The 26,303-nt window shown below is 41.9% G+C and overlaps 1 protein-coding gene across 3 annotated transcripts in view, besides 3 other annotated features; it reads right to left on the reverse strand.

Moving 5' to 3' along the window:
- IL22RA2 (interleukin 22 receptor subunit alpha 2) overlaps positions 1-24,374 on the reverse strand; it is a 29,825-nt gene extending 5,451 nt beyond the window's left edge. For 2 of the 3 annotated variants that reach the window (NM_181310.2, NM_181309.2), the window contains exons 1-4: positions 24,143-24,374; positions 12,419-12,544; positions 9,077-9,212; positions 5,671-5,849 (exon numbers count right to left, since the gene is read on the reverse strand). In NM_181310.2, coding sequence (NP_851827.1) covers positions 5,671-5,849; positions 9,077-9,212; positions 12,419-12,479 — 376 coding nt within the window. In that variant the 5' untranslated portion in view covers positions 12,480-12,544; positions 24,143-24,374. Of the gene's footprint in view, positions 1-5,670; positions 5,850-7,488; positions 7,585-9,076; positions 9,213-12,418; positions 12,545-24,142 lie in introns of all 3 variants that reach the window. The other variant, NM_052962.3, reaches the window with a different exon arrangement.
- Positions 22,474-23,232: an enhancer, noted in NCBI's record as "OCT4-NANOG hESC enhancer chr6:137492881-137493639 (GRCh37/hg19 assembly coordinates)". NCBI's record gives its function as "activates a minimal SCP1, AML or CMV promoter by ChIP-STARR-seq in naive H9 embryonic stem cells {active_cell/tissue: H9 hESC(naive)}" and the evidence as "EXISTENCE:reporter gene assay evidence [ECO:0000049][PMID:30033119]".
- Positions 22,474-23,348: a biological region, named in NCBI's record as "OCT4-NANOG hESC enhancer GRCh37_chr6:137492881-137493639".
- Positions 23,129-23,348: an enhancer, noted in NCBI's record as "active region_25134". NCBI's record gives its function as "activates an Ori minimal core promoter by ATAC-STARR-seq in GM12878 lymphoblastoid cells {active_cell/tissue: GM12878}" and the evidence as "EXISTENCE:reporter gene assay evidence [ECO:0000049][PMID:35858748]".
- Positions 24,375-26,303: the final 1,929 nt, after the last annotated feature.

The raw sequence follows: 26,303 nt of genomic DNA on the forward strand, positions 1-26,303 counted from the left end.
CTAATAAAGACTTTACTTTGAGTCTTGGATCTGAAGAGATATGTCCCCTGGATCTCTTAAAAGCATATTAAGCTTAACATATTCAAAACCAAACTCATAATCTCTATTACCTTGCATCCCACCAAACTGGTCTTTTTCATCAAACCCCATCAAAAAGATCTCAGCAATTCATCTAATTATGCATGCAAGAAACTTAGAGGTCATCTTTGACATGTCCTCTTCACCATTATATCCGATCTATCACCTGGTCCTGCCAATGTTGCTTACTAAATGTCCCTCCAGGAATAAATTTTCTCTAGTCCTTTTCATAAGCCAAATTCGGTCTCCTGTAGACTATTATTAGTAACCTGCTACTTCACTTATCTGCATCCAACCTGTTCCCCAAAATATAGTCAAAATGATCTTTTCTATACACAAGTCTGATCATATGGCTCCTAAATAAAATTATGTTTTTCTGGAGGAAGTCACAACTCCTTAAAAAATTCTTGTACCTGCCTACCTTTCCAGTCCCATCTCATTATGGACTCCTTCCTGCATGCTCTTCTTCAATATATTGGTTATCTTTCAGTCCCTTGAGTTTGCTATGCCAGAGGGCCTTTGCAAATGCTGGTCCCTTGCTTGAAATGCTCTATTCTTTGCCTCAAGTGATCCTCCTACCTCGGCCTCCCAAAGTGCTGGGATTACAGGCATGGAGCCAACACACCTGGCCTTCACATCTATTTTTAATCCAAGTAATTCTAGGGTCAAATAATACTGAAATCTCGCTAAGTATCAAACGCTGCTTTTAACTGAAGAAAGTTTACTTTGTTTTATTTTATTTTTAAAATCTTGCTTTGTCTCTAGATAGACACCATAAATCAGAACTTCTTAATCTAAGATAACATCCTGCTGCTCAAAAACAGGTGTCAGAGGAGGCAATGCATGCAGCTGGCTCATTAGTCTATATCACAGATGCCACAAACATGCTGTCTTGAGGAACTAGAAACGTGCTTTTTTGAAATATGTTCTTCAGAAGTTCTTAGGAGCTGTGGTGGGAGAGCGCAAGCCTGGGGGTGAGGAGGCAGCTGAGTGGGTGATTCTTCTCACTATTGCATCAACAAGAGTAGTAGCTATAGACTGGGTTTCTTATTCTTCTACTAAGAGGCCCCGAAATAAAATGGCTTTTTAAAGGACCTGGTCTAAAGCTTTTTTCTTTTCTTTTCTTTTCTGATTTTTTTTTTTTTTTTTTTTTTTTTAGGGAGAAAGGTCATACAGAAAACACACAAACCCTTCTTAACTCAACACTATCCCAATTTAAATAGAATTGAGCTAAAGCTGTGTCAGTCAATGTCTTTGGCTATTCTTACCTGACTGGCCTAATGGCTTAGACTGAAGGAAACTTTGTTTGATAAGTAAATTTGAATGTGACCCTATTTCTAGGCTTGAATATAATAATCACACTGATCTGTGAATTCCCTTCACTGGTGTTCATCAGTTTAGTCATGAAATCTCCTTTTCCTCTACTAGAGAATTGCTTGTTGAGTATATTGGCTTTGAATTTCAATGTATCCAAGAGACAACCAAGAGTTACCATGAATTAGTTTGCTCAACTCTATTCCACCCTCCTGCTAATTAGAGAGTTGGGGGAAAATGCATCTAGCATTTTGGACAGTATCTAATTAATTTGGATCTCACTGGACCTTGCACCAGTTAGAAGAGGTGTATGGATGGATCCCTAAGTACTAAGATACAGAATGTGAATATTTCTGTGGCCATATGAATGCAAAGCAAAAGGCTCATACTGAAAAGTGGTCTTAAAAAATCTGGGTGGTTAGAGAATTGCAAGGAACCCATAATAGTCAAAACAATCTTGAAAAAGATGAATAAAGAGGAGGGCTCACCCTTCCCAATTTCAAAGCTTACTACAAAGCAACAATAATCAAAATAGTGTGGTATGGGCACAATGATGAATGTATAGCTCAATAGAATAGAATTGAGAGTCTGGAAATAAACTACACGTCTATGGTCTATTGATTTTCAACAAGTGTGCCAAGAACTCTCAATGGGATAATTTTCAACAAATGGTGCTGGGACAGCTGGATAGTCATATGTCAAAGAATAATATTGGACCCTTACCTCACACCACATACAAAAATTAACTCAAAATGAATCAGACTTAACTGTGAGAGATAAAACTATAAAACTCTTAGGAGAAAACATAGGGTAAATCTTCATGATTTTGGATTTGGCAAAGGATTCTTAGATATGACACCAAAAGCACAAGCAACAAAAGAAGAAATAAATTGGATTTCATCCAAGTTTAAAACTTGGTGTCAAGTGATACCATCAAGAAAGTAAAAAGACAACTCACAGAATGGGAGGAGCTAGCTGAGGATCATATATCTGATAAGGCATTGGTATGCAGAATATATAAAGAACCCTTACAACTCAAAAATAAAAAGATTTGATTAAATTTTTTAAATGGGCAAAGGATCTCAATGGACAATTCTCCAAGGAAGGTACAAAATAGCCAATAAGCATAAAACAGAAGCTCAACATCATTAATTAGCAGGTAAATGCAAATAAAAACCACATGAGTTACCATTTTATACCTATTAGGATGGCTATAGTCAAAAAAGATTGGTAAAAATGTGGAAAAATCAAAACTCTCATATATTGCTGATGGGAATGTAAAATAGTGCAGATGCTTTGAAAGTAGTCTGGCATTTCCTCAAATGATTAAATATAGAGTTACTATGAGACCCAGCAATTCCACTCCTATGTATATATTGAAGAGAAATATAAAGGTATGCCCAGCTATGTGTGGTGGCGTATGCCTGATAGTCCTTGGTACTTGGGAGGCTGAGGTGGAAGGATTGCTGGAGCCCAGGGGTTCAAGACTGAAGTGAGCTATGTTTGTGCCACTGCGCTCCAGCCCAGGTGACAGAGCAGGATCCTGTCTCTCAAAAAAACAAACAAGAAAAAAAAACAAAAAAACTCACACTCAAAAATTTTTACATGACTGTTTATAGTAGCATTATTCATAATAGCCAAAAAGTGGAAACTACCCAAATGTCTATCAACTGAAGAAAGGATAAATAATATGTGGTATATCCATATAATGTATTATTTGGTCACAAAAAAGAATGAAGTACTGATACATACTACAATCTGAATGAACTTTGAAAACACGTTAAGTGAAAGAAGCCAGTCAAAAAAATCATGTATTATATTAGTCTATCTAGAACAGGGAACTCTATAGAGACAGAAAGATTAGTAGTTGCCGGGGCTGAGGGCTAAGGGAATGGTGAGACTGGAAGGTGATAGCCAAAGGGTATGGAGTTGCTTTTTGAGGTGATAAAAATGTTCTAAAATTGACTGTGAGTGATGGTTGTACATATTTGTGAATATAGTAAAAACCATTAAACTGTATGCTATATGCTTAAAGTATAGGCTGTGTGAATTATATCTCAATAAGGCTGTTTAAAAAAATCTAAGTGGATGCAGTGACCATCTATTTCCCCAGTGTCCTGTAGTTGCTCTATGGGCTCTTGAACAAAATAGTTGCATGATGGAGGCTATATATAGACTTAACAATATGGATCTCCTCTTACCAAAGTTGGTCTGACCTGCAGAGTGTCCAACTTTCCAGTAAGGAAGATCAATGTTGAACCCCTAGTATAGTGCCATATTCCAGGGGCTCTCATCTTCCATCTCGTTGCAGGTAGGTTTATTTTTGTTCCCTTCCAAAAGGGAGGGGGCAAGAGACATTGGTTATAGATTTTCTTTACTGCTGGATATAGATTCTGGTTACAGATTTTGTTTATAGATTTTTATTTACTGCTTCAATGCTTTTATTAGCAGACCCCTAACCACTCCTGGGACCACACATACACCCATAGATGTAGTCAATGCCTTGTTCATGAGCATAGTACTCCACAATACATTGCTTATGACAAAGAACTTAAGTTAATGTGAAAGGAGTGAAGCAAGGTCTCAAGACCCATAGGACAAATATATATCATATATTTGTCGCTCAGAAATCCATGACTTTATAGGAAGGTGAAATGGATAATTGAAAACTCAGTTTGAGAGACGTCTTGTGAATTGGCATATGAATTGGTAAATGCTCCAATTGGTAAATGCTTCACTAAGCCTAGGGCCAATATATGGTGCTATTTCTTCCACAGACAGAATTCACTGGTCTAGGATACAAGAAGTAGAAGTGGGAGGGGCAACTCTGACTGTTACCCATAGTGAACAACTTATGACATGTTTTTGTTTCCCATATGCTTGGCCTTGAATTCTTCTGGTTTATAACAAAAATGGTTTCCAAAAATTGGAAGTCGAGGCTCTCTCCTGACCATTTGGAGCGCCTCATGCCATTTAACTAACAAAAAGAAAATGAGGTTCTTATATTGTCTAGGGTGATTCATTCTGATTTTCAAGGCATAATATAGTTATAAATACAATGGGGTCAGGTGGAAGAATTCTTGGTATCCTCTGGTGTGCCTCTTAGAGCTTCTCTATTCAGTGATAAAAATTAATGTAAGGTTAGGTCAAGCGGAGACAGGAAACACCAAAAGGACTCAAACTCCTCGTGGATAAAGAGCTGAAGTGCTGGCTGGAAAGAAAGTGAATGTTGAGTTTATAATGAAGGAAGAAGTCATAAATATTAACTACAGCTTCATGACTAGTTGACTTGTTGCAATTATGAGGACTGTGGTAAATATCTTTTTTTTTTCTTGTTCTATTTATGCACATCTTTATATCTATACATTAAACCCCTTCTCTCTCTCTCTCTACTATTTTATCCAATGTCTGTTGGTAATGGTTAATTTTAACACCTATGTCTTAGATTATATTATTCTATGGTTGTGACTAAACTAAAAAAGGAATAAATATCCTTCAGGATGGATACTGAGAAAGCACTTTTGGTCTGCCTTTTTGGGGAGGTGACTAAAAGTCTTAATTTCCTCAACAGAAAATTCCTGTAATCAGTATTTTCATGAACTTAACCCTCGTGTTTGGGGAAGGACTAGGCACTATGACAAATTCTGCTGTCTAAAAATACTTTTTTAGGGGCTGGGCATGGTGGCTCACACCCATAATCCCAGCACTTTGGGAGGCCAAAGGGGGCAGATCACCTGAGGTCAGGAGTTTGAAACCAGCCTGGCCAATATGATGAAACCCCGTCTCTACTAAAAATACAAAAATTAGCCAAGGGTGGTGGCACACACTTGTAATCCTAGCTACTCGGGAGGCAGAGGCCGGAGAATCGCTTGAACCCGGGATGCAGAGGTTGCAGTGAGCCAAGATCGTGCCACTGCACTCCAGCCTGGGTGACAAAGCGAGACCCTGTCACACACAAACACACACACACACACACACACACAAGGTGACAAATTGATGGAGTGGAGGCTCTGCAGTCAGATATAGCAAATTTGAACCCTGACTTGGATAATACAGATTGCGAGATTGGAGCAATGACTAAAGCCTCTACATCTTGATGTTCTGGACTAGAAAATTAGGATAATAAAAGCTATCTCCTAGAGTTGTTCTGACAATTAGACCAAAAGAGATAATGATGTAGAGACCTCAGCAAAGCACAAGGCCTAGTCACTAGCCGTGCTCCGGGAGGGCTGTCCAAAAGCAGGAAGAACAAGGGCAAAGAAACTCCATGGAACTCACTTTCCCACCAGGGAGTGAACCGCGGCGTCATGCTCCATTCTGAGTAGCTCCCAGCCGAGGCCGCCCTCACCCTCCCGTAATAAGGTTCCTGTATGTCTGAGGTTTCACTGGTAAGGTCACAAGAGAGTTCTTGAGTACCCCAACAGTCTTCTTTATTTTTCCATTGTCTCTGTCCATATCTGTAGCAGGGAAAAGGCAAAGATCTGAGTTTCTTTTCTCCACTCAAGGAGTCTTCAGTATTTTCAGACTAATAATTTTTTATACCTGATTCTAGTAGCAATACCACCATGATAGCTTATGGCTCCTCTTCAGAATCTTTAAAAAAATTCCTTCTTATTAACTGTTTCAGTCCATTTTCTGTTGCTATAACTGAATACCCGAGACTGGGTAATTTATAAAGAAAAGGAATTTATTTCTTACAGTTTTGGAGGCTAGGAAGTCTAATGTCTAAGAGCCATAAGAGCCACATCTGGTGAGGGCCTTCTTGCTGGTGGGGACTCTCTGCAGAGACTTAAGGTGACAGAGGACTTCACAGGGATTCAAGAGAGATGGCATATACATATATATACATATATATATAAAATATAAAATATATATAAAACAGACCAACTTTTTTGATAACTAGCCCACTTCCTCAATAACACATTAATTCGTTAATCCATCAATGGATGAATCCATTCATGGGGGCAGAATCCTCATGACCCAATCATCTCCCCAAAGTCCCACCTCTCAACATTGCTGCACTGGGGATCAGGTTTCCAACACATGAACTTTTGGGGGACACATAGAAACCACAGCATTACCTAAAGTGCTGTCTTGCTGGAAGATAAACATCCCTGACGCTTTCTGTATCACTAACATAAGGGTTTTAACCTTTTTTTTAATACTTGGCAAAATGTTCTTTCTGGTGTGTGGACTGACTTCCATTTTTGAATACTCACTCTCCACATCCTTAATGCTCTGTGGTTTTGGCTGTTTGTGGTTTTTCTCCACTTCTCATCAGCTTGCTGTTGAGTAATGTGGCTGCTTCTGAGAAGTTGCTACCACTTTTCATCTCAGGTGTTGCCTACCCAACATACATGATTAATCTCTTTATTGAAAATTGACGGGAACTTTTATTGAGGACTATATATGGAGCCCTGTAATTAGGGGTTGGGAGAGGGGGAGGGAATCCCATGAAAAAAGGTAGTGAGGCAAGAGGCAGAGTGGTTGACTCAGCCTGAGGCCACAGGATGGTGTAATAGTCAAAGGGAAGATTCACGCTTTGTTTCCTTACCTGCCATAAATCAGACCAATGTAACAAAGTGATGGTGGGGAAAAGAGAAGGAATTGGAGTCTGGGGAGAAAGGTTTCCCAAAATATTTATTGAAAGACTTGAAATCTAGCTTTCTAGACACATAATAAGGAAGATAGACGGTATCTATACTCGGTAATCTACATGGTGACAGCAGTTTCATTCCATCACAATTAAAGCAGAACCACAACATATATTGAGTATAATTTGATGTTTTAAAATTATTATTTATTTATAATAAGTCTTGAACTTAGCTGTAATGACAGACTTCTCTTTTAAAATAATATCTCATTGTTTATCCTATTCTAAACGCAAGGGATATAACAGTATTATAGCCCATGAACTGGATACACCAAAGTGAAAGTTTTCAAAATTATAAATTTGTCTTGTGCTGTTGAAAATCCCTTAGAGACAGGAATGGATTCAGGTATTCTGGGGTCTGAAATTTATACAATCTTGGTCCATTTAATGTTTCTATAACAGAACACCTGAGGCTAGGTAATTGATAAGGAAAAGAGGTGTACTTAGCCAATGTTCTGCAGCCTGGGAAGTTACAAGAAATGTGCTGCCAGCATCCACTTGGCTTCTGGTGAGAGCTTTTCATGCTGCATGAGAACATGCTAGAGAAGGTCAATGGGGAAAACAGATCGTGTGAAGAGGCCAAACTCAAGGGGCATCCTGGCTTTACAACAACCACTCTCATAGAAACATTTCCATGACAAATTCAGTCTTGCAAGAGTGAGAACTCACTCAACTGCAGCAATAATGGTACCAAGCCATTCATGAGTGCTCCATCCCCATGACCCAAACACCTCCTACGAGGCCCTACTTCCAACACCACCACACTAAGGATCAAATTTCAACATGAATTTTGGTGGAGACAAACTCAAACCATAGCAGCTTGGGAGTCCTCTTTAGGAAAAGATTTATAAATATAAAATCCTTGCATTGGGGTCCTGAAGTTTAATCTTCATTAGATTCATGGTAAAACAGTTTCTAATCTTCTTAGTACTTTGGACCACAAATAGGTCCACTTTTGACCTATTTATACTACTCCAGGGGAAGCATAAAAAGAGTACCAATCTTTACTTTCTGCATGCTGAAAGTATCTCCAGCAATGCACAAATCTACTTTTGTAATGGAGAAACCTTCATTGTAAAGATTTGTACATTTTACAATCGCTACATAAAATATGTAGAGAGAAGTCGTAGCGGTTAAAGATGGAGATGCTTCTGGGGATATTCCTTCCGAAATTAATTAGCAGGAAAATCTGACCTAGGACCTACCCCATGCTGGAGAGACATGGATGAATTTATGGGATAAAAATTGCTACTTTGGCCATAGCTGCATTTGATTTCCTGAATTTCTATTGAAAAACCATGAAAGCTAAACTGTAATATCTCCTGTCTCACTGTCAGGAGACAGGATTGAGCCTCAACCCCCCTCACCCCCCCAGAAATATATGAGTGGAAAAACCTGACATTTTCAAGTCAAGAGTGTTTGTTTCCAAGCCTTGAGCCAGGAAAGGAGTAGATTATATCTGAGTTTTGGCAATGATCCAGCAGGAGTAGCCTGAGGATCACACGAGAGGAACATGCAGCAGCGTGTTCCAGTTTGTGTTCATGCTTACGAGAGTCATTAGTTTTTGAAAGGAATTTTCTAAATAGTAAATCCACTCTGAAAGTGACTTTTAAATTAAAACCTTATTTTACACACTCACCACCATGTTTGCCACAACTTCTTTTTCAACTACCGATAGTTTCACTCACTGAGTACTCGCTATGTGCTAATAAGTTGCTTCCAACATTCGCCTGACAAATCTATATTGAGAACCCACCATGTGCCAGGCTCCTCCATGGAGGCAAAGGCTGAGCCTGTGAGGTCTTGGTGCAGGTCTAGGGCTGAAGTATCTGCCCAGTGCACTGCATACCATCATGCATTTTGAGTCCCCAGGCAGCCTTCAGGGGAGACAAGTCACTGTTATCCTGACCTTGGCTTCTTCTCAACCCCTCTGAAACTGAAAAAAAGCTCGGATCCTAACACTCCATTGCATTCTAGAACATGTTATCCCAGTGCCATCTCTATCAGCTGAAGGAGGCTCAATTTACTTACATTTTGTACTGCACAAAATAGACACTGCTGTTGCCAGTAAGTGCCCTCCCAGGCTGCCATTGCAAAATGTTGTGAAAATTTCGGGACTGAAATTGTACCCTCTGAGGCTTCAGAGACTCATGCGTTGACTGAGTTCCTAAGATAATAAGAGAAGGAAGAACATTGAACGTTGCTTGGAGCACTGCTGTTCCCAGCAGTAGTTTTCAGTGGAATACCTGCATCAGGATTCCCTAAAGTAGTTGCTCTAAGTGCAGATAGTAGAGGTGGAGCCCAGAAATCAACATTTTGAATCTTCAATGCAATGATTTTGATGCACGCTAAAGTCTCAGAATAATGAGTTCCAGATCATAAACATGTACGTGATACCTTCCCACCCTATTTCCCAGGCTGTGGGGGAAGTAAATTGCATTAAAAAAAATATTGCTCTTATTTTGTTCCCAAATAGTGATGGAATATAATGACTGAGATGAAAGACCCACACTAAGACCACCAACCATCTTCTTAGGAATCACTATATTGGTACTACTCAAGCAAAATTTGCTAGTGACCACTTCTGGGCTCCAGGACCTCAGCCCAGCACTCAGTCCCTCCTTTCGCAGGTTCTTGCTCAATCTCTGGGTCCTGCTTCCAGGTAGGTCTGCCTTTGCTGTCCCACTCCTGAATGGCTGTATTTACCTGCCTGCATCCTGGCTCCAAGTATCCAAGCATAATCCCTCAGATGAAATGGTCATGCTAATGAGGAAAACTGCCCAAGACCCTGCTGGGGGGTAGTGTTTCTGAGACTAATCATGGCATGGCATGGGATAATTTTGCACTGGCATGACTTGTGCTTTCTTCCTCAAATCAGGCAACATAGGTGGTACAACCTTGCTTGCCTTTAGTTGCATGGAGGCAAGAGAATTTTGGCAAAATTTTACTTAGGGTTCAAGGTTTTTTATAAGGGATAAGAAGTTGGGCAGAAGGAGGAGTCAAGAAGCATATCTTTTTTTTTTGGATGGAGTTTCACTCTTGTCGCCCTGGCTGGAGTGCAGTGGCGTGATCTCAGCTCACTGCAACCTCTGCCTCCCGGATTCAAGCGATTCTCCTGCCTCAGCCTCCTGAGTAGCTGGGATTACAGGTGCCCGCCACCATGCCTGGCTAATTTTTTTGTATTTTTAGTAGAGATGGGGTTTTGCCATGTTGGGCAGGCTGGTCTCGAACTCCTGACCTCAAGTGATCCGCCCACCTCGGCCTCCCAAAGTGCTGGGATTACAGGCGTGAGCCACTGCACCCGGCCAGGAAGCATATCTTCTGTTTTCTCCCTGACCTCATCTTCTGTCACCCCGACCCCTGTGTTTGCAGTGTTGACTCCTTCACTTGCTCCACCATGACTCCAGTGACTCTGCCTTAGGGCCTCTGCACTGGCCCTTCCCTTTTCCTGGTCTGCTCTTCCCCTGGATTTCACATGGCTCATTTCTCCACCTCCTTCAAGTCTTTGCTCAAATGTATCACGTTATTGAGATGGTTAAAAAAACACTTCCAAGCCCATGGTCTCAGCTCTGAACTTTCAAGACTTGTTATTTTCAAATGAACAAGACTGTTTCCTCAGGCCTTTCTTCTTACCAACCAAATAGTGTGAATACTGTTATTTGTTTTTTAATTTGTTTTCACTTTTATTGTTTGGACCACCATCAGTGCATCAAATGGTGTTGTGTTCTTGGAAAGAGTCTACAGCCACAGTTGATTTTGCTCACAAAAATCACTGCCTGATCAGTCATCTTTAGAACATAAACATTCCAGAAGTTTTCAGGAGATGACAGGCACAATTTCCTGAAGGCCTGCCTAGAATTGATTTGCTAACATGAAGATAGATGGCTTAATGCCCTTAATCTCTCTGTCTATGGATTTCTTCTCTCATTTTTGTAACATCAGTGCTACCACCACCAACAGTAATAACACTGCACCAGGCACTGAGGGACTTTTATCTGCATTCACTCATTTAATTTGCCCAGCTCTTCTGTGAGGAAGGTACTGTGCATTATGGTCTTCCTCTTACAGACTGAAAAAACGAAGCCTTGGACACCTGAAGGAGATTGCCAGGCAGCCAATGGTGAAGCTGATTTTGTACCCAGACAGTCTGAGTGCAGAGCCTGCCATTACCCTCCAACAGAAAACCAAGAGCAAAGCCATGGGAGAGAGGAGCTAATGAAAGAGGCAGACCAATTAGAAGCTGAGGCTATACTTTATCTTCTTCCTTCTTCCCTCCTCCTCCTCCTTCTGGCCGGCATTCATCAAACATTGAACATATATGAACATTAACTTATGTTAGGCACTATGTTCAAAGCTTTACAACTTACTTAATTCCCACAGCCACCAAGTAAGGTAAATATTTTTATTATCGCATTCTACAGATGAGGAAGCTGAGGCTTTAGAAAGTTGCATCTCTTACTCGAGGTTACAGGTTTGGTAAGATGCAGAGCCAGGAACATTTTGGTAGCATTTGAATTCCTGCCGTATTTTGCTAAATGTGCCCTTGCTGTTACCAAGTACCAGAGTCTTCTCAAATCCAAACACTTCTGGAAGATGAAGGCTTGAATTGCTTTTATGTATTAGTCACTGGACAACTGCACCATCTTGGCAAGTTACTTAAATCACTTACACTGAGAGGTACCCATTTGTTAACTTGCATTCTTACAGGCTTGCTCAGAAGTATGTGGTGCTGATAAGATGCTCTACACTCCTGCAGTTTCCTCCACGAATACCAGAAGCAAATTCTCACCTGTTGTTTGTGGTCCCTATCCTGTGCCAGGCACTTCTCTAAGCATTTGGCATATATTAATTGATTTAATCTTCACAGTGACCTAGAATCCCCATTCTACTAATGAGGAAATTGAGGGTGTTAAGTAAATTTCCCAAGTTTTCCTAGATGGTAAATGGCAGATCTGAAATCCAGACCATGATAGCTTGGCTTAGGAGCCTGTGCTGGTAACCACCATGATTTAGTGTTCCTTCAAGGTAAAAGACATTCTAAGGTGAGTGAGAGCCAGAGAGAAAGAGAGAGGGAGAGAAAGAAAGAGGGAGGGAGGGAAGGAGAGAGAGAGAGAGAAATGGATGTACATTTGTTCTGTATGAAGTCTCTGCACCCTCTAGAGAGCCTTTTCTTTAGTGGGAACTCATTAAGTACATGTGGGGTCATTCAAGCTGCAGATAGACACTAACCCCATGCCTGCTCTGATCATTTAGTGACATCAAAAGCTGCAGCCTTTATAAAGTTCAAAAAAGCACCAGTGCCATTTCCAACAGATCCTTGATTGGACTCAGATGACAAAGCTATGAGCAATTAAAAAGAAACAAAGCACTTACCTGCTACACCAGTAAGGAAGAAACTGATGAGGAAGCCTAGAAAGCAATGTTTAGGCATCATGGTTGCAAGTGTGACTGTTCAGGCAACCAGTGTTCCTTTTAACCAGCTCAGGACCAAAGAGGAAACTGTAAAATCCACAAACAGACAATCACTCCCGGGTTTAAGGCAGATGGTTCCTTGAAGCAACTACAATTTTATTTTGATACTACATTATATTATTTTATTTTAGGAAAAATATGAAAGTATAAAAATCACTTCAAAAAACATTTGCTGTCACTTTTATGTGGAAGCTCGTTTTATTGGGAAGCTCGTTTTTTGTTGGGGCTTCATTAGCTGCAGAAAGGTAAAACACTGAGGATGGGCAGATCTGAAGGGCAGGGCAGTGCAGGGATTGTGCAAGTGGCAAGCAGGTGAGTGAATGAAACAACTAGTGGGGCCTTAAGGGAATCTGGCCCCAGGAGGCGGAGAGGCTGCCAAGGACTAGGACTTGGCTGCCAGGGTGATTTTGAGTAATGTGCTTGGCATTTGCAGCTATCGGGGCCCCTGGCAGTGGTTCAAAGCAAGAGGGGTCTATCGTTGATTCACTCTTTTCCTCTCTTTTTGGTAGGTCCCCAATTAATCTCCCTGCTATGCCCCATACCCTTCCACTGCATCTGGCTCTCCACGGGGCTCCCTGCCGTACTCTTCAGCCTTTCCCACTCCATAGTGGTCCTGGGCTCCATTTAGCTAATGCCTCTTCCTCTTCCATTTTCACACCCAGTTTCCAGTGAGCTGGAGAAAGATTTTGAGCCTGTCAAACCACATGATTCCTTAAAAAGATGAATGGGGAAGACACTCCTTTTGAGCTACATTAGATCTTTTTCACATTGTCTTTGAAATCTGATTGAAGCAGGTCATCTGTTCTCTGTCTATGATTCATTATATCATTCTTCTTACCATTTTTTTTTACTACACGTGTTTAGAGATACTAAAATTATACATGAAAGAACAAAAAAGTCATGTTCCATAGTGAACAGGTCTGTGCAAACCTACCCTTAAAGTCCAAGGAAGCTGAGAGGTCAAAGAAAAAGGCTGACATATCCAGTTTCTCAGAAAGAAACATTTCGTAGGGACTTATGAACAGAGCCATGTGTGTGTCCTGGACAGTGGCAAGACAAGATGGTGGACCCTCATGCCATTACCCTGTAGACCTGAAGAAGGAATTAAGGAAATCAACTATAACCTAATAGTAGTAGTAGTAATAGAAATTTTAAAATCCTCTTAAAGTTGCTGCAAAGTGTGACCCCCCACCTTACACTCAAGTTAAAAGGGAATATTAACAGCCTGTCTTCTCTCTGTGGACAGTGGACCTTATCTATACTTCCCAAATCCACATTCCTCAGAGTTTATTACAGGCCCAGTGAGTTCCTGCATGACTGCAGGGTCACAAGACTGATAAGTTTAGGTTGCAAGACATGTCTTTCTCAAAATATAACAAATGTTGTAATGCTGCCTTTGTTTCTTGCTTCTGTATCTCGCTTCCTGCCTCATGTAGTTCCCACCTTAAGATGTTTAAACGTAGGAAAAGCCCTTTGCTCAGGGCTCAGACTTTCTGGACATATGTGCTACTGATCACCTTAATTTAGTAAACTCTCCTGAACCTTTTTCGGTCTCTCCAATCTTTGGTTGTCCCACAACATTTCCGGGGACCAGTCTGGGATTGGAGATGGCAGATTTTCGTCTCCTTTGCCTGTGGGTTAGAGCCCCAGGACATGGGAAATCTGGGGTCCTTGGTGCCACCGGGAGAGTTTTAGCCCAGAAGGAGAACAGCCCTTCCACGTTCTGGAGCCTTCCTCCAACAGTGCAAATGGAACCAGTGGAAAGGGTTGCAGGACAGTCACAAGAACAGTGCATAGACATATGAACTGCAGTAAGGTTTGGGCCCTAAGGCAAGACCCGTCCCATAAGGATGGAAGGGGAGCCTGGTCACCTCCAAGGGCATGACAACTAGTCTGACCCGAGGGGGTTGGGACAATGGGAGAGGCCCATTGATTCAGATGAAACTCACACCCTAATTGACACCAGACGTAAGTGGGGCTCATGAGTCGGTCAGAAAGGAAAACCATTTTGGGGATGGGGGAGGTGTGTGAAAGTGTGTAAAAGAGATGGTCTCGGGAGAGACCAAGGCGGGGTTGATGTGGGGAGGCACAGATCTCTTAGCGTGGACTGTGTGCTCCCAGGCGAGTGTGGGAAAAACCAGACCTAGGACACTGCATACGGCCCAGAGGACCAGCTCCACAGCTGCAGCTAGCTGTGACAGGAATTAAGGCATGCTCCTGGCTAAGCAGTGTCCGAACCTCCTGTAATAGGACCCAGTCTGGTGGATCCAAGAGTGAAAGTGAGAGTGAAAGTGCATCACAAGGGAGGAAACAGGAGGAAAAGCGTCAAAGCCTATTCCACTGGAGTGCGTGCTGAAAAACTTTAAAAAAAGTTTTAATGGTGACTATGGGGTTAAGCTAACTTCACAGAAACTGAGAACTTTTTTGAGATAAAATAGCCATCTTTTAATGTAGGGTGGCCAGCCAAGGGGACAATAGACAGGGAGATAATTGGCCGAGTGTTTCGGGTGGTCACCAGGCTTGGAGAACAGCCCGGGCACCTGGATCAGTTTCCGTATATTGACTCCTGGCTAAGTATAATTCAGACCCTCCCTAAGTGGCTGCAGGCCTACTTTGAGATCTACTGTAAGACTCTAACGGCCAAGACAAAACCAGGAACAATAGAAAGAAACTGCAAGGCATCAGAAAAAGAAAAGTCACAGGAAAAGCAGTAAAAACCTGTCCTACAGGCCCCGCCTGAAGAGTTAGAAATTCCACCCCACTATGCACCAATTTATCCACCTCTGGCAAAGCTTAGACAGAAGGCTGCCCCGGCTGCCTCCGGAGACTCAGACTCAGAAGGAAGCACCCCTCAGGCAACACCACGCAGAGAGGAGCCAGAGCCCTTGACTGAAAAGCCAAGGGAGGAACTCCAGGGTGATGAGGTCGGCCGCCTTAGGTCGGTCCGTGCCCAAGCAATGCAGATGCCACTCTGAGAAACATGGGGACAAATTTATTTGAATGCACAGAATGAAGTCCAAGGGGGAGAACAGCTCTTCTTTTATCAGCCCTTCTCTACTACTGATCTCTTAAATTGGAGACAACATACTCCCTCCTATAGAGAGAAGCCTCAGGCTCTTATAGATCTAATGCAGTCCATTTTCCTAACTCACAATCCTACCTGGGTTGATTGTAAACATTTTTTTCTGTCATTATTTAATATGGAAGAGCACCGTAGAGTTATACAAGCTGCTCTCCAGTGGCTGGAGAAAAATGCATCTTCAAGCACAGGAGATATCAGGCAGTATACACAACAAGCACTCCTGATAGAGGCTGACCCAGGCTGGGACCCTAACCAGGCTCAAGGGCTACAAGTTTGCAGCAGTATTGAGAGGCACTCCTAAATGGAATAAACGCTGGAGAGAAAAAGGCCACCAATATCGGAAAGGTCTCAGAGGTTCGCCAGAAGCCAGATAAAAGTCCCGGTGAATTTTATGAGAGGCTGTGCGAGGCTTACCAGCTTTACATGCCACTTGACCCAGAGGCTGCGGGTAATCAGTGTATGGTTAATGTGGCATTTGTAAGCCAGGTGCAAGAAGACATCGGAAGTTAGAAGGGTTTGAAGGTGTGAATATTACCCAGCTTATCCAGGTGGCTACTAAGGTGTTTGTAAATCAGAAGGAGGAGGCCAAGAGAAAAGCTAGATGCAGAGCTAAGGAAAAGGCAGACTTGCTGGCGGTGGCCTTAGTTGGAAGAGAAACTGGTTTTGTGAGAGGATGTGGTCGTGGTTGCGGTCATGATAGAGGACAAACTAGGTAAAACCAGGAAGCTAAGCCAGGACAAGAGGGCCAACTTAGGCTTAAGGGAGATCAATGTGTGAGATGCAAGCAGATGGGACACTAGAAGAATGAATGCCAAATTTTCCGGTGCCCTTGTTAGGAAGAGATTTCCTCCAGAAATTGCAAGCACAAATCTCCTTTATACCAGAAGGGCACATGACTCTAAATCTAGGTCAAAGAAAAGCCATGATAAAGACCCTTACTGTCCCAACAACAGAGGAATGGTAATAATTTGGGTGCCCCACACGGTTGTCACTCTGATGGAGCAGAGGGGACATTGCTGGCTTTCTAACCCTAGAATGTTAAGATATCAAGGGCTTTTGTGTGAAATCCCCTACCTAACCTTGGAGACTATGAATACTCTAAATCCGGCCACACTGCTGCTGATAGAATGGGCGGAGCATGGAAAGCCCCCATTGTGTGGCCCAGGGTATCACTGTTGTGTGGAAACTGTGGATGAAGTTTTCTCAAGCTGAAAAGACTTAAAGGACTAGCCCTTAAAAGACCCACATGTTAAATACTTTGCTGATGGAAGCAGCTTCATATCTAAAGGTTTATCAGTTGGGCTGGATATGCAGTGGTAACACTGAATTCAGCAGCTGAAACCTGCCCTCTGCCGGCCGGAACTTTAGCCCAAAGAGCTGAGATAATAGCTGTCACTAGGGTGTTGCTTTTGGCCAAAGAAAGTCGGTAAACATCTATACTGACTCAAGGTATGCCTTTGCCACTTTGCATGCCCATGGAGCCATATATAAGGAAAGAGGATTGTTAACTACTGAAGGAAAGGAAATCAAAAATAAAAAGGAAATAGAGCAGCTCTTAGAAGCTGTATGGGCTCCAAAAGAAGTAGCAGTCATCCATTGCAAAGGGCATCAAACAGGAGGACATGACAAGGCCAGAGAAAACAGAAAGGCAGAAAGAGAAGCCAAAAGAGCTGCAATGACAGCGATAACTAAGAAGGAAGAGGAAACCCTTACCATGCCCTTATTGGAGCTTCCTCTTACAGAACCCCCTAACTACTCCTCTAATGAAAAGGCTTGGTTTGAGCAGGAAAGTGGAAGTTACCAGAAAGGAAGTTGGTGGAAGTTCTCAAATGGGAGGCTCGCCAGCTATCCCAGAAGCAATAGCCCCTGGTTCATAAAACAGTTTCATCAAGGAACACATATGGGAAAAACTGCATTAGAGACTCTTGTAGGATGGCATTTCTATTGCTGAGCCTAACTGCCATCACTCGAGCCATTTATGAGTAATGTTTAACTTGTGCCCCAAACAATCCACAGCAGGGGCCAACATGGCCCCCAGGGATTCAAGAAACTGGAGCTACACCCTGTGAAAACCTGCATGTGGGCTTTACTGAGCTGCCTCGAACCGGAGGCTACCGGTGCATGCTAGTGTTTGTCTGCACTTTCTCAGGGTGGGTTGAGGCATTTCCCACCAGGACAAAGAAAGCTCGGGAAGTAACCAGAATCTTACTAAAGGACATTATTCCTAGATTTCGACTGCCTCTAACTTTAGGATCAGACAATGGCCCAGCATTTGTGGCAGAAATAGTACAACAGCTAACACAGAGGTTAAAAATCAAATGAAAACTGCATACAGCTTATCACCCATAGAGTTCTGGAAAGTTGAAAGAATAAACCGGACACTCAAACAGCCGTTAAAAAAGTTTTGCCATGAAACTCATCTAAGATGGGATCAGGTGCTGCCCATGGTCCTTCTCTGAGTCAGGTGCACCCCTACTAAATTAACTGGGTATTCACCCTATAAGATAGTGTTTGGCCGACACCCTGATCATAACTCAGATAAACGGGGATTTAAAAAATTGGGGAATTAACCTTAAGAAGGCAAATGCAAGCCTTAGGTGAGGTCTCGCAGGAAATGCAAGGATGGGTAAGAGAAAGAATACCTGTTAGCCTCACAGATGCAGTACAACCCTTCTAACCTGGAGACTCTGTCTGGGTCAAACAATGGAACCCAACCACTTTAGGGCCTTTATGGGATAGTCCCCATATTGTGATCTTGTCTACTCCCACTGCTGTTAAAGTTGCAGGTATCATACCTTGGGTTCATCATAGCCGGCTGAAACCAGAAGCAGCCACCACCCAGGACCAGTGGACAAGTCAACAAAACCCAGACCACTCAACATGGCTGATCCTGTGGTGAAACCAAGCCACTGCTGACAAGGACAACTGCCCTGCTTCAACCACACCAGAGGCTGGTTGGTCCACGCACGGCTGAAGCTTGAGGAAACATCGAGCCCTGTTCTAGTCACACAAATGGAAGCTGACTAGTCTATGCATGGCTGAAGCCTGAGGAAGTCAATGATACATAAGTAAATGTAGACTAAATTTACAAACATAGTTATACTCTTACTTGTAGTAATTATTTTGCTGTCATGTTATCTTTGCAAATGCTGCCAAGCTTGTTGCCCAGAAAGGTGCCCATGCATAGTATAAGTTTAATCATATTAGTAATACTGAAGCCACTGACACTTTCACCTATGGTTATAAAAGGGGACCAGGATGACTGTCATCACTGTATGATAGAAGCCTGGTCTGGAAAAGGTGTGACTAAAACTCTGTTATACCAGACCTACTATGAGTGTACAGGGACTCATACAGGAACTTGTTGTTTATAACCAGACTAATTACTCAGTCTGTGATCCTGGAAACGGGCAGCCCCAAATATGTTATGACCCAGAGTTCTTGCCCTATGACTTCTTATTTGAAGTCCAAATTTGGTGAACCCCTAATGCCATCATATACAAACCCCACAGAAACTGGGGTCAGTAAACTTGTAAACAAAACGCAAGTATTCACTTACGCGCATAAAGGGCCCGTCTCCATATATTTTGATGCCTGCCAAGCTGCACATCTCAGTAAACTAAATAATATTTGGACCATCTGTAAAAATCTAGGACAAGAAAGAGTCAGCAGCAGAGCCACCAAGGCCATAATAGGAGAGTCCGAAAAAGAGTGCCCTGATTGTGATAATCAGTGGACCACACATGAATTTAATCAGCACCTATACACTGGAAGGGCTGCTCTGTTTGCCAGCCAAGAGGAGAAGATAGGGTACACAACTGGAACATGCTACCCACTCAATCTGACAATACTAAAGCCAAATATGACTTTCTGGACTAAAGGGCATAAAGGATTACTAACCTTTGATCAGGCAGGAGCTCTCCTAGGACTTGGTATTCCTCTGGTCATCACAAAGAAAACCCAAAGGACTCAAGTTCAACTTAGCCCAATACAACAGTTCAGGTTTTATAAATCTTTCAATGAACACTTTAATTCTGAAGTATCAAAAATTCAAATTCCTCCTATATCAACTGAAAATCTGTTTGTCCAGCTAGCCAAAAGTATTGCTAACAATTTAGGAGTTACTTCCTGTTATGTATGTGGAGGTGCTAATATGAGAGATCAATGGCCCTGGGAAGCCAGAGAATTGATGCTGCAAGACAATTTTACCTTGCCTGAATTTGTTACAAAATTCAATGCAAATCCAAGTGTTTGGCTATTAAGGAACCCCATCATTGGAAAATACTGTATTGCCTGTTGGGGCAAGTCCTTTCAGAACCAGATAGGGGAAACAACTTGCCTAGGTCAACAATATTTTGAAGAATCTGAGAACAGAACACAATGGAGAAGCTTTATAGATGATTCCTCTGTGTCACTTTAATCCCTTTTTGCAGTTCCCAACACTAAATCAATCATGGTACCAATTAGAAGCTCCAACTGTTTGGAGAGCACCTGCAGGATTATATAGGATCTGTGGAACAAAGGCTTATCAATTACTAACCGATAAATGGACAGGGGCATGTATATTAGGAACAATAAGGCCATTCTTTTTGCTACTCCCCCTGCAGCAAGGGGAAGATCTAAGCTATCTGGTCTATGATGAAGGCAGAAAAAGAGTCAAAAGAAATGTGTTTACAAAAATAAGTACTGAGGAAAAAATAAATACTAACATTAAAAAGGACATTGAAATAGGGGGCTGGAAAGATAATGAATGGCCCCCTGGGCACAAGATGGGTCATGGGGATACTGTACTCCTATTTATATGTTAAACCACATCATAAGGTTGCAAGCAGTTCTGGAAATTATAGTCAATGAAACAGCCTGAGCCTTAGACTTGCTAGCCATACAGGCAACCCAGATGAGAGATGCCATTTATCAGAACAGGTTAGTACTGAATTATGTTTTAGCTTCAGAAGGGGGTTTGTGGAAAACTTAATTTAACAAATTGCTGCTTACAAATTGATGACAATGGAAAAGCTGTCATGGAAATCACTGCCAGGATGCGGAAGTTAGCTCATGTTCTGGTTCAGACATGGTCTGGTTGGAACCCGAGTTCACTCTTTGGAGGACGGTTTTCATGGTTTGGAGGCTTTAAAACTGTAATACTAGGCTTTGTGGCCATAAAAGGTGGATGCCTACTGCTTCCCTGTCTCTTGCCATTTCTAATCGGAAGCATCCAATCCACCATAGACTCAATGGTAGACAGACATACCACCATCCGAATAAAGGCTCTGCAAAAGTACCAACTGGTATCCCAAGATGAGTATGTACCCACTCAAGAAGAAATAGCTAACTGTGGTGCTCTTTATTAATCTACATTTGTGTCGAGCACCAAAAGGGGGAAATGAAGAAGGAATTAATGAAATCAACTATAACCTAAGAGTAGTAGTAATACAAATTTTAAAATCCTTTTAAAGTTCCTGCAAAATGTGACCCCTGCCTTACATTCACGTTAAAAGGGAATATTAACAGCCTGTCTTCTCTCTGTGGACAGTGGACCTTATCTATACTCCCCAACTCCACATTCCTCAAAGTTTATTACAGGCCCAGTGAGTTCCTGCATGACTGCAGGGTCACAAGACTGATAAGTTTAGGCTGCAAGACATGTCTTTCTCAAAATGTAACAAACGTTGTAATACTGCCTTTGTTTCTTGCTTCTGTAACTCGATTCCCGCCTCACGTAGTTCCCACCTTAAGATATTTAAAAGTAGGAAAAGCCCTTTGTTTGGGGCTCAGACTAGCTGAGCCGGTGATCACCTTAATTTAATAAACTTTCCTGAACTTTCGGTCTCTTCAGTCTTTGATCATCCCGCAACAGACCCAGGGCTTACATACCACCGGGAAAGGGCCTGCGTGATTCAGAAGGGATGTATATGACAATTGAAGTATCATAACATCAAGGTGGTTTTGACGTACAGGCAGGACTTATGACAAGTATGTGTTCTCATACAAGGAACAATCGATAAACTAGAAATCTTAGAAGCCTTCCTGAAAAAGGATTAATCAGAAGTCAACATGGCAGATTAGCATCTAAAAATGAAGTTGCTTCAGCCTCCGCAAGTCATAAAGGTTTTTTTGTTGTTGTTAAAAAGAGAGGCTCTTTAGATCAAAAGGGGAAATGTATACTGGTTTCTATTTTCTCTTGTATAGTCTCTTTCAAGTTCTTGGTAGAATAGCTCCTTTAGTAAGGAATAATGATGGCTGCTAAGCAGTATCCATCCATGCAGCTATCCAATAACATTTCACAAATATTTGCTGTCCTACCATAAACTAGGAATTAGTCTCAGCAGCAAGGATGCAGCAGCAGATAAGAGAGACATTGCCCCTGCCTTCCTTAAGCTTGCTTCTCAAGGGAAAAGTAGAGAATAAGGAGCTACAGCAGGGTTACAACTTCTATTCATCTAACCTTCTCTGTCTTTTTCTTCTCCTTCTTAAATGGGAGATGAAAAGTTTCAGAAGCCGGCTTGCAAAGCCACTTTGCCTCCCACCCTCCATCACAACCATTAACCAAGACTAGAATGTAGGAGGGGAAGCAGGTAAAATGAAAGTGCTAAAAGGAGAGGGTTGGGTGCTGCTGATGTGGAGGAGGCAGAGTCTTCAAAGAGAAAGGGAAGAATGGCCTTCTGCATACAGACAGGAGCAGAGGAGTTGTTCTCAAGTGTAGACCCTCCATCCCAACCCCATGACCCAGCACCTGTGAACATTTCTAGACACTCGGGTGCCTGAGACTGTGAGGCCTTGGGTGGAGCTGGGGCCACGCAGGGAAAACCTTATTCCTGAGCAAAGGGTCTTAGAAGAGAGCTTATCAGAAATTTCCTCAGAAACCAGATCCCAGTGGACCAGGCCACTATCAATTTTCATTTAACAAATTTCAGTTATTGGAGGGCAGTTGCGCTGCATGCTTTCTGAGGCCAGCCCTATGTGGAAAGGTTTGTGTGGATAACATCAGGTTTCCCAGTGCCTCTGTTCTACGGCAGTCTTCTGAATCCAGGCTTGTATCTCCTCCAGCTGAAGTTTTTGGTGCTTATAAGGTAGCTTCTGCTTTGAAAGAAGAAACATGCAGCACGTTTTATGTTCCCTTTTCACCTCTTCATGCTCCTTAGCTTGCAACCTTCTCAGCATTGTTATTCACTTCCCTGCTAATGTTTACCACTTCACATTTACTTTGGTATTTAAATGGGGGATGATAATGTGGGTTTGCACTATTGATGTTCAATGGCTTCAATACCAATAGATCTCATTTTGAAGCCACCAAATTGCTCCAAGTTCCAGCTAAGAATAAAAGGAAAATATTTAAATTCGAGGTTTTATGATGAGAGCAGCAGAGAACGAAATTGAGGTTTCCACTGGGTTGCTGACTTTGTCAAACAAATGAGGGGAAATTAGGCGGAGTGGGATAAGCAAAACATATTTAAGAACTGAATTCTCCCCAAAACGTGAGCTTTGGTGCTCTATTAAATTTCACAAACCAGACCAGTTCTGTCACTGTTCAATTAGCTCTAGTTGTGTAATAGAACCTGCATAAAAGCCAACACTGTCAACAAGGCCTCAAGGTAGATGAAAAGATAAAATTAAATTCTAATTTCCCATCAATCTGGAAGCAGAAGAATTTGTACAGAATTGTTTCAAATGAAATGCTGTTTTGTTTGGGAAGTAAGAAAGTTTTAGTCACTAGGGGATCTCCGCTCTGCCTCCTTTCAGGCATGAAATGCTGGCTTCATTCCCTGCCCTCCCCCGACCTCGGCCCCACTCCGCAGCAGGGAGAGTCCACCTTGACGGTGACAACGGGTATTTCCATCATCGTGTTGACTCTGGAGAGAACTTGCTTAAGCCCCTGTCTTGAACAGATTTGATTCTCTTCTTCCTTTCTTCTTGTGGCTTCCAGCAGACCAACCATTTATCTAATTAAGGAATCATTTTTCATTGTTTTTAGGTGTGATGTGGAATTTTGGTTATTATTTTTATTTTTTTTTAGAGCTACCTATTATAGTACTACAGATGAAATGGTGTCATGTCTGGGATTTGCTTCAAAATAATACAAAGGCCTGGGAAAGGGGGTTACCATCCATGAGCTGATAACTGTTGAAATTGGGTGTCAGGTTTATTATACTCTACTTTTGTATGTACTTAAAATTGTTCATAACAAAGAAAAAAGATTTTTAAAGTTTATCTACAAGATGTGGCCAGACACGGTGGCTCACACCTGTAATCTCAGCACTTTGGAAGGCGGAGGTGGGTGGATCATTTGAGGTGTGGAGTTCCAGACCAGCCTGGCCAACATGGTGCAACCCCGTCTGTACTAAAAATACAAAAATTAGCCAGGCGTGACGGTGTGTGCCTGTAATCCCAGCTACTCAGTGGGGCTGAGGCAGGAGAATTGCTTGAGTCAAGGAGGTGAGGTTTGCAGTGAGCCGAGATCGCGCCACTGCGCTCCAGTCTGGGCAGCGATAAAGCGAGAGTCCATCTCAAAAAAATAAATAAATAAATAAATAAAGTTTACTTACCAGATGCTGTCTTCCTTTTGGTAATTTTAATGCCATTTTAGTGTCAATAATAAGATCTAATAATTATGGGACGCCATGTTATGTTTTTCCCATATTTTGTCTTTGTTAATCCTCTTATGAAGTCTAGGAGATTGGTATTATTATTCATTTGATGTTACAGATGAAGAAACTGAGACATAGATAGAGAGGTGGAGAGAACTTGACCAGGGCTCTATAGCGAGTAGTGGTAAAGTGAGGGCTGAAATCAGATCTGGTTAGCCTCAGGGCCTGAGGAGTATTATGAAACTCCTCTTGTGTTATTCTTTGCTTGTAATAGACATTCCATAAAGGGATAGAATGATGTCAAAGAACATTTGTCCATTGGCTTCTCGAATCGTTTATTCAGTCAAACAAATGTTTATTGAGCAACTGTTATATGCCAGGCACTGTGTTAGACATCGGGGATGCAGAAATGAACAAGACTACAGAGCCAGCCCTCAGGGAACCAACAGCATTTTCTTCAACCAGGTCTTGGTAGCAAAGGGCTAAGTGTTTCTTATTGTTTTTCAGAGAAGTGTTTAAAAACTGGTGTTCAGTATGACTTTGGTGCTGTCCATTGAAGGGAAGTCAGAGCAACTGTGTTTCTGCTAGGCCCTTTCCTTCATCCTATGATTTGGTGGGCAGCTGAGCATCTTTTAAAAGTTTCATCATGAATGATAATCTGAACACCACCCTTCTCCCTCTCTGGAAAACTATAGAGCTGTAGAGCCAACAACAGGGAAACAACTTGTTCTTTCTTATTTGCTGGGACATTAATAGCTCCACCGAGTAATATTCATGTCCTTTAAGCAGTTCGGCATTCTGGAAATAATTGGCATGCAAAAATTCAAAATGGTTTGTGAACTTGAATTCAGAAAAGAAAAAGAAACATTGTTATTCAAACACAGGTGATAAGCACAATGACTAATCTGAGTTTTTGGACTGTGATCACTAATATATTATTTAAAATCTCCACTCATAGGACATAGGGCTTAATGAGGTTAACCTTTCCTGCTCTTCACTCTTATTTTTCTGGATAAAAGATGCTATTGATTTTGCTTTGATTATTCTTTAAAAAATTTTTTAAAATTTATTTCTGAAAACCAAAACATAAAGGAGTGGTAACATTTAAAAAATATGTATTTTTTTTATTTCAGTAGCTGTGCAATAGTGCAAGTGGTTTTTGGTTACCTGGATGGATTGCACAGTGGTGAAGTCTGAGATATTATTGCATCTCTTACCCGAGTAATGTACATTGTACCCAATATGTAGCTTTGATTATTCTTCACCCAAGGTCACCTTGAAACCCCTACCAGATATCATCAATCATTATGCCCATGCACCAGTATGTTTGTATGTATTGTTTGATCCTGAAAATATCTTCATGGCATAACCAGAATCCAACTGGTTTTCACCTCCTCCACTGTACCCATTTGGTAACCTGCTATCATCATCTCTTGTGTGGACTGTGGCCACAGCCTCCTTACTGGTCTGCCTGCCTCTGTCACTGTTCTCTGCATCAGGTGGAGTGTTCCTATTAAATGTCAGAATAGAACATTTTATTCAGAACCCTGTGATGCCTTCCCATCTCACTCAGATTGAAAGTCAACATTTTTCCAGTCCCTTACTAAGCCCTATATAACCAGGTCCTGTTACCTCTAAATTTATTTCCTACTGCTCTCCTCCCAACCCATGGTGCTCCCTCCTGGGTGGTCTTTTTGCTGTTTCTCAAACATATCAGGCACATCCCTACATTAGCAAGGTTCCCTCTGCTCCAATGCTCTTCCTGAGATGTCCAGGCTCACTCCCTCACCTCCTTCATGTCTCTGCTCAAATATTATCTTATCAGTGAATTCTATGACACCCAAAATAGCAGTCCCCAACAGCTGTCCCTGGCACCTTTATCTGTTTGTTTTCCAAAACATTTATCATCATTTGGCAGGCTATGTTTCATTTTATTCTTGTTGTCTATCTCCCCAACTAGGATATAAGCTCCACGAGGTCAGGGATGTTATGTGTTTTGTTCACTGCTTTAACTCTAGCACTTAGGACAAGGCTGGGGACACAGTAAGCCCTTATCACATGTCTAGTGAATCAAAAAAAAGGAATGTGATTTTAGCAACTGCCATGAATTTACAAGAAT

This window comes from Homo sapiens, chromosome 6, assembly GCF_000001405.40.
Source record: "Homo sapiens chromosome 6, GRCh38.p14 Primary Assembly".
Classification (NCBI taxonomy): domain Eukaryota; kingdom Metazoa; phylum Chordata; class Mammalia; order Primates; family Hominidae; genus Homo; species Homo sapiens.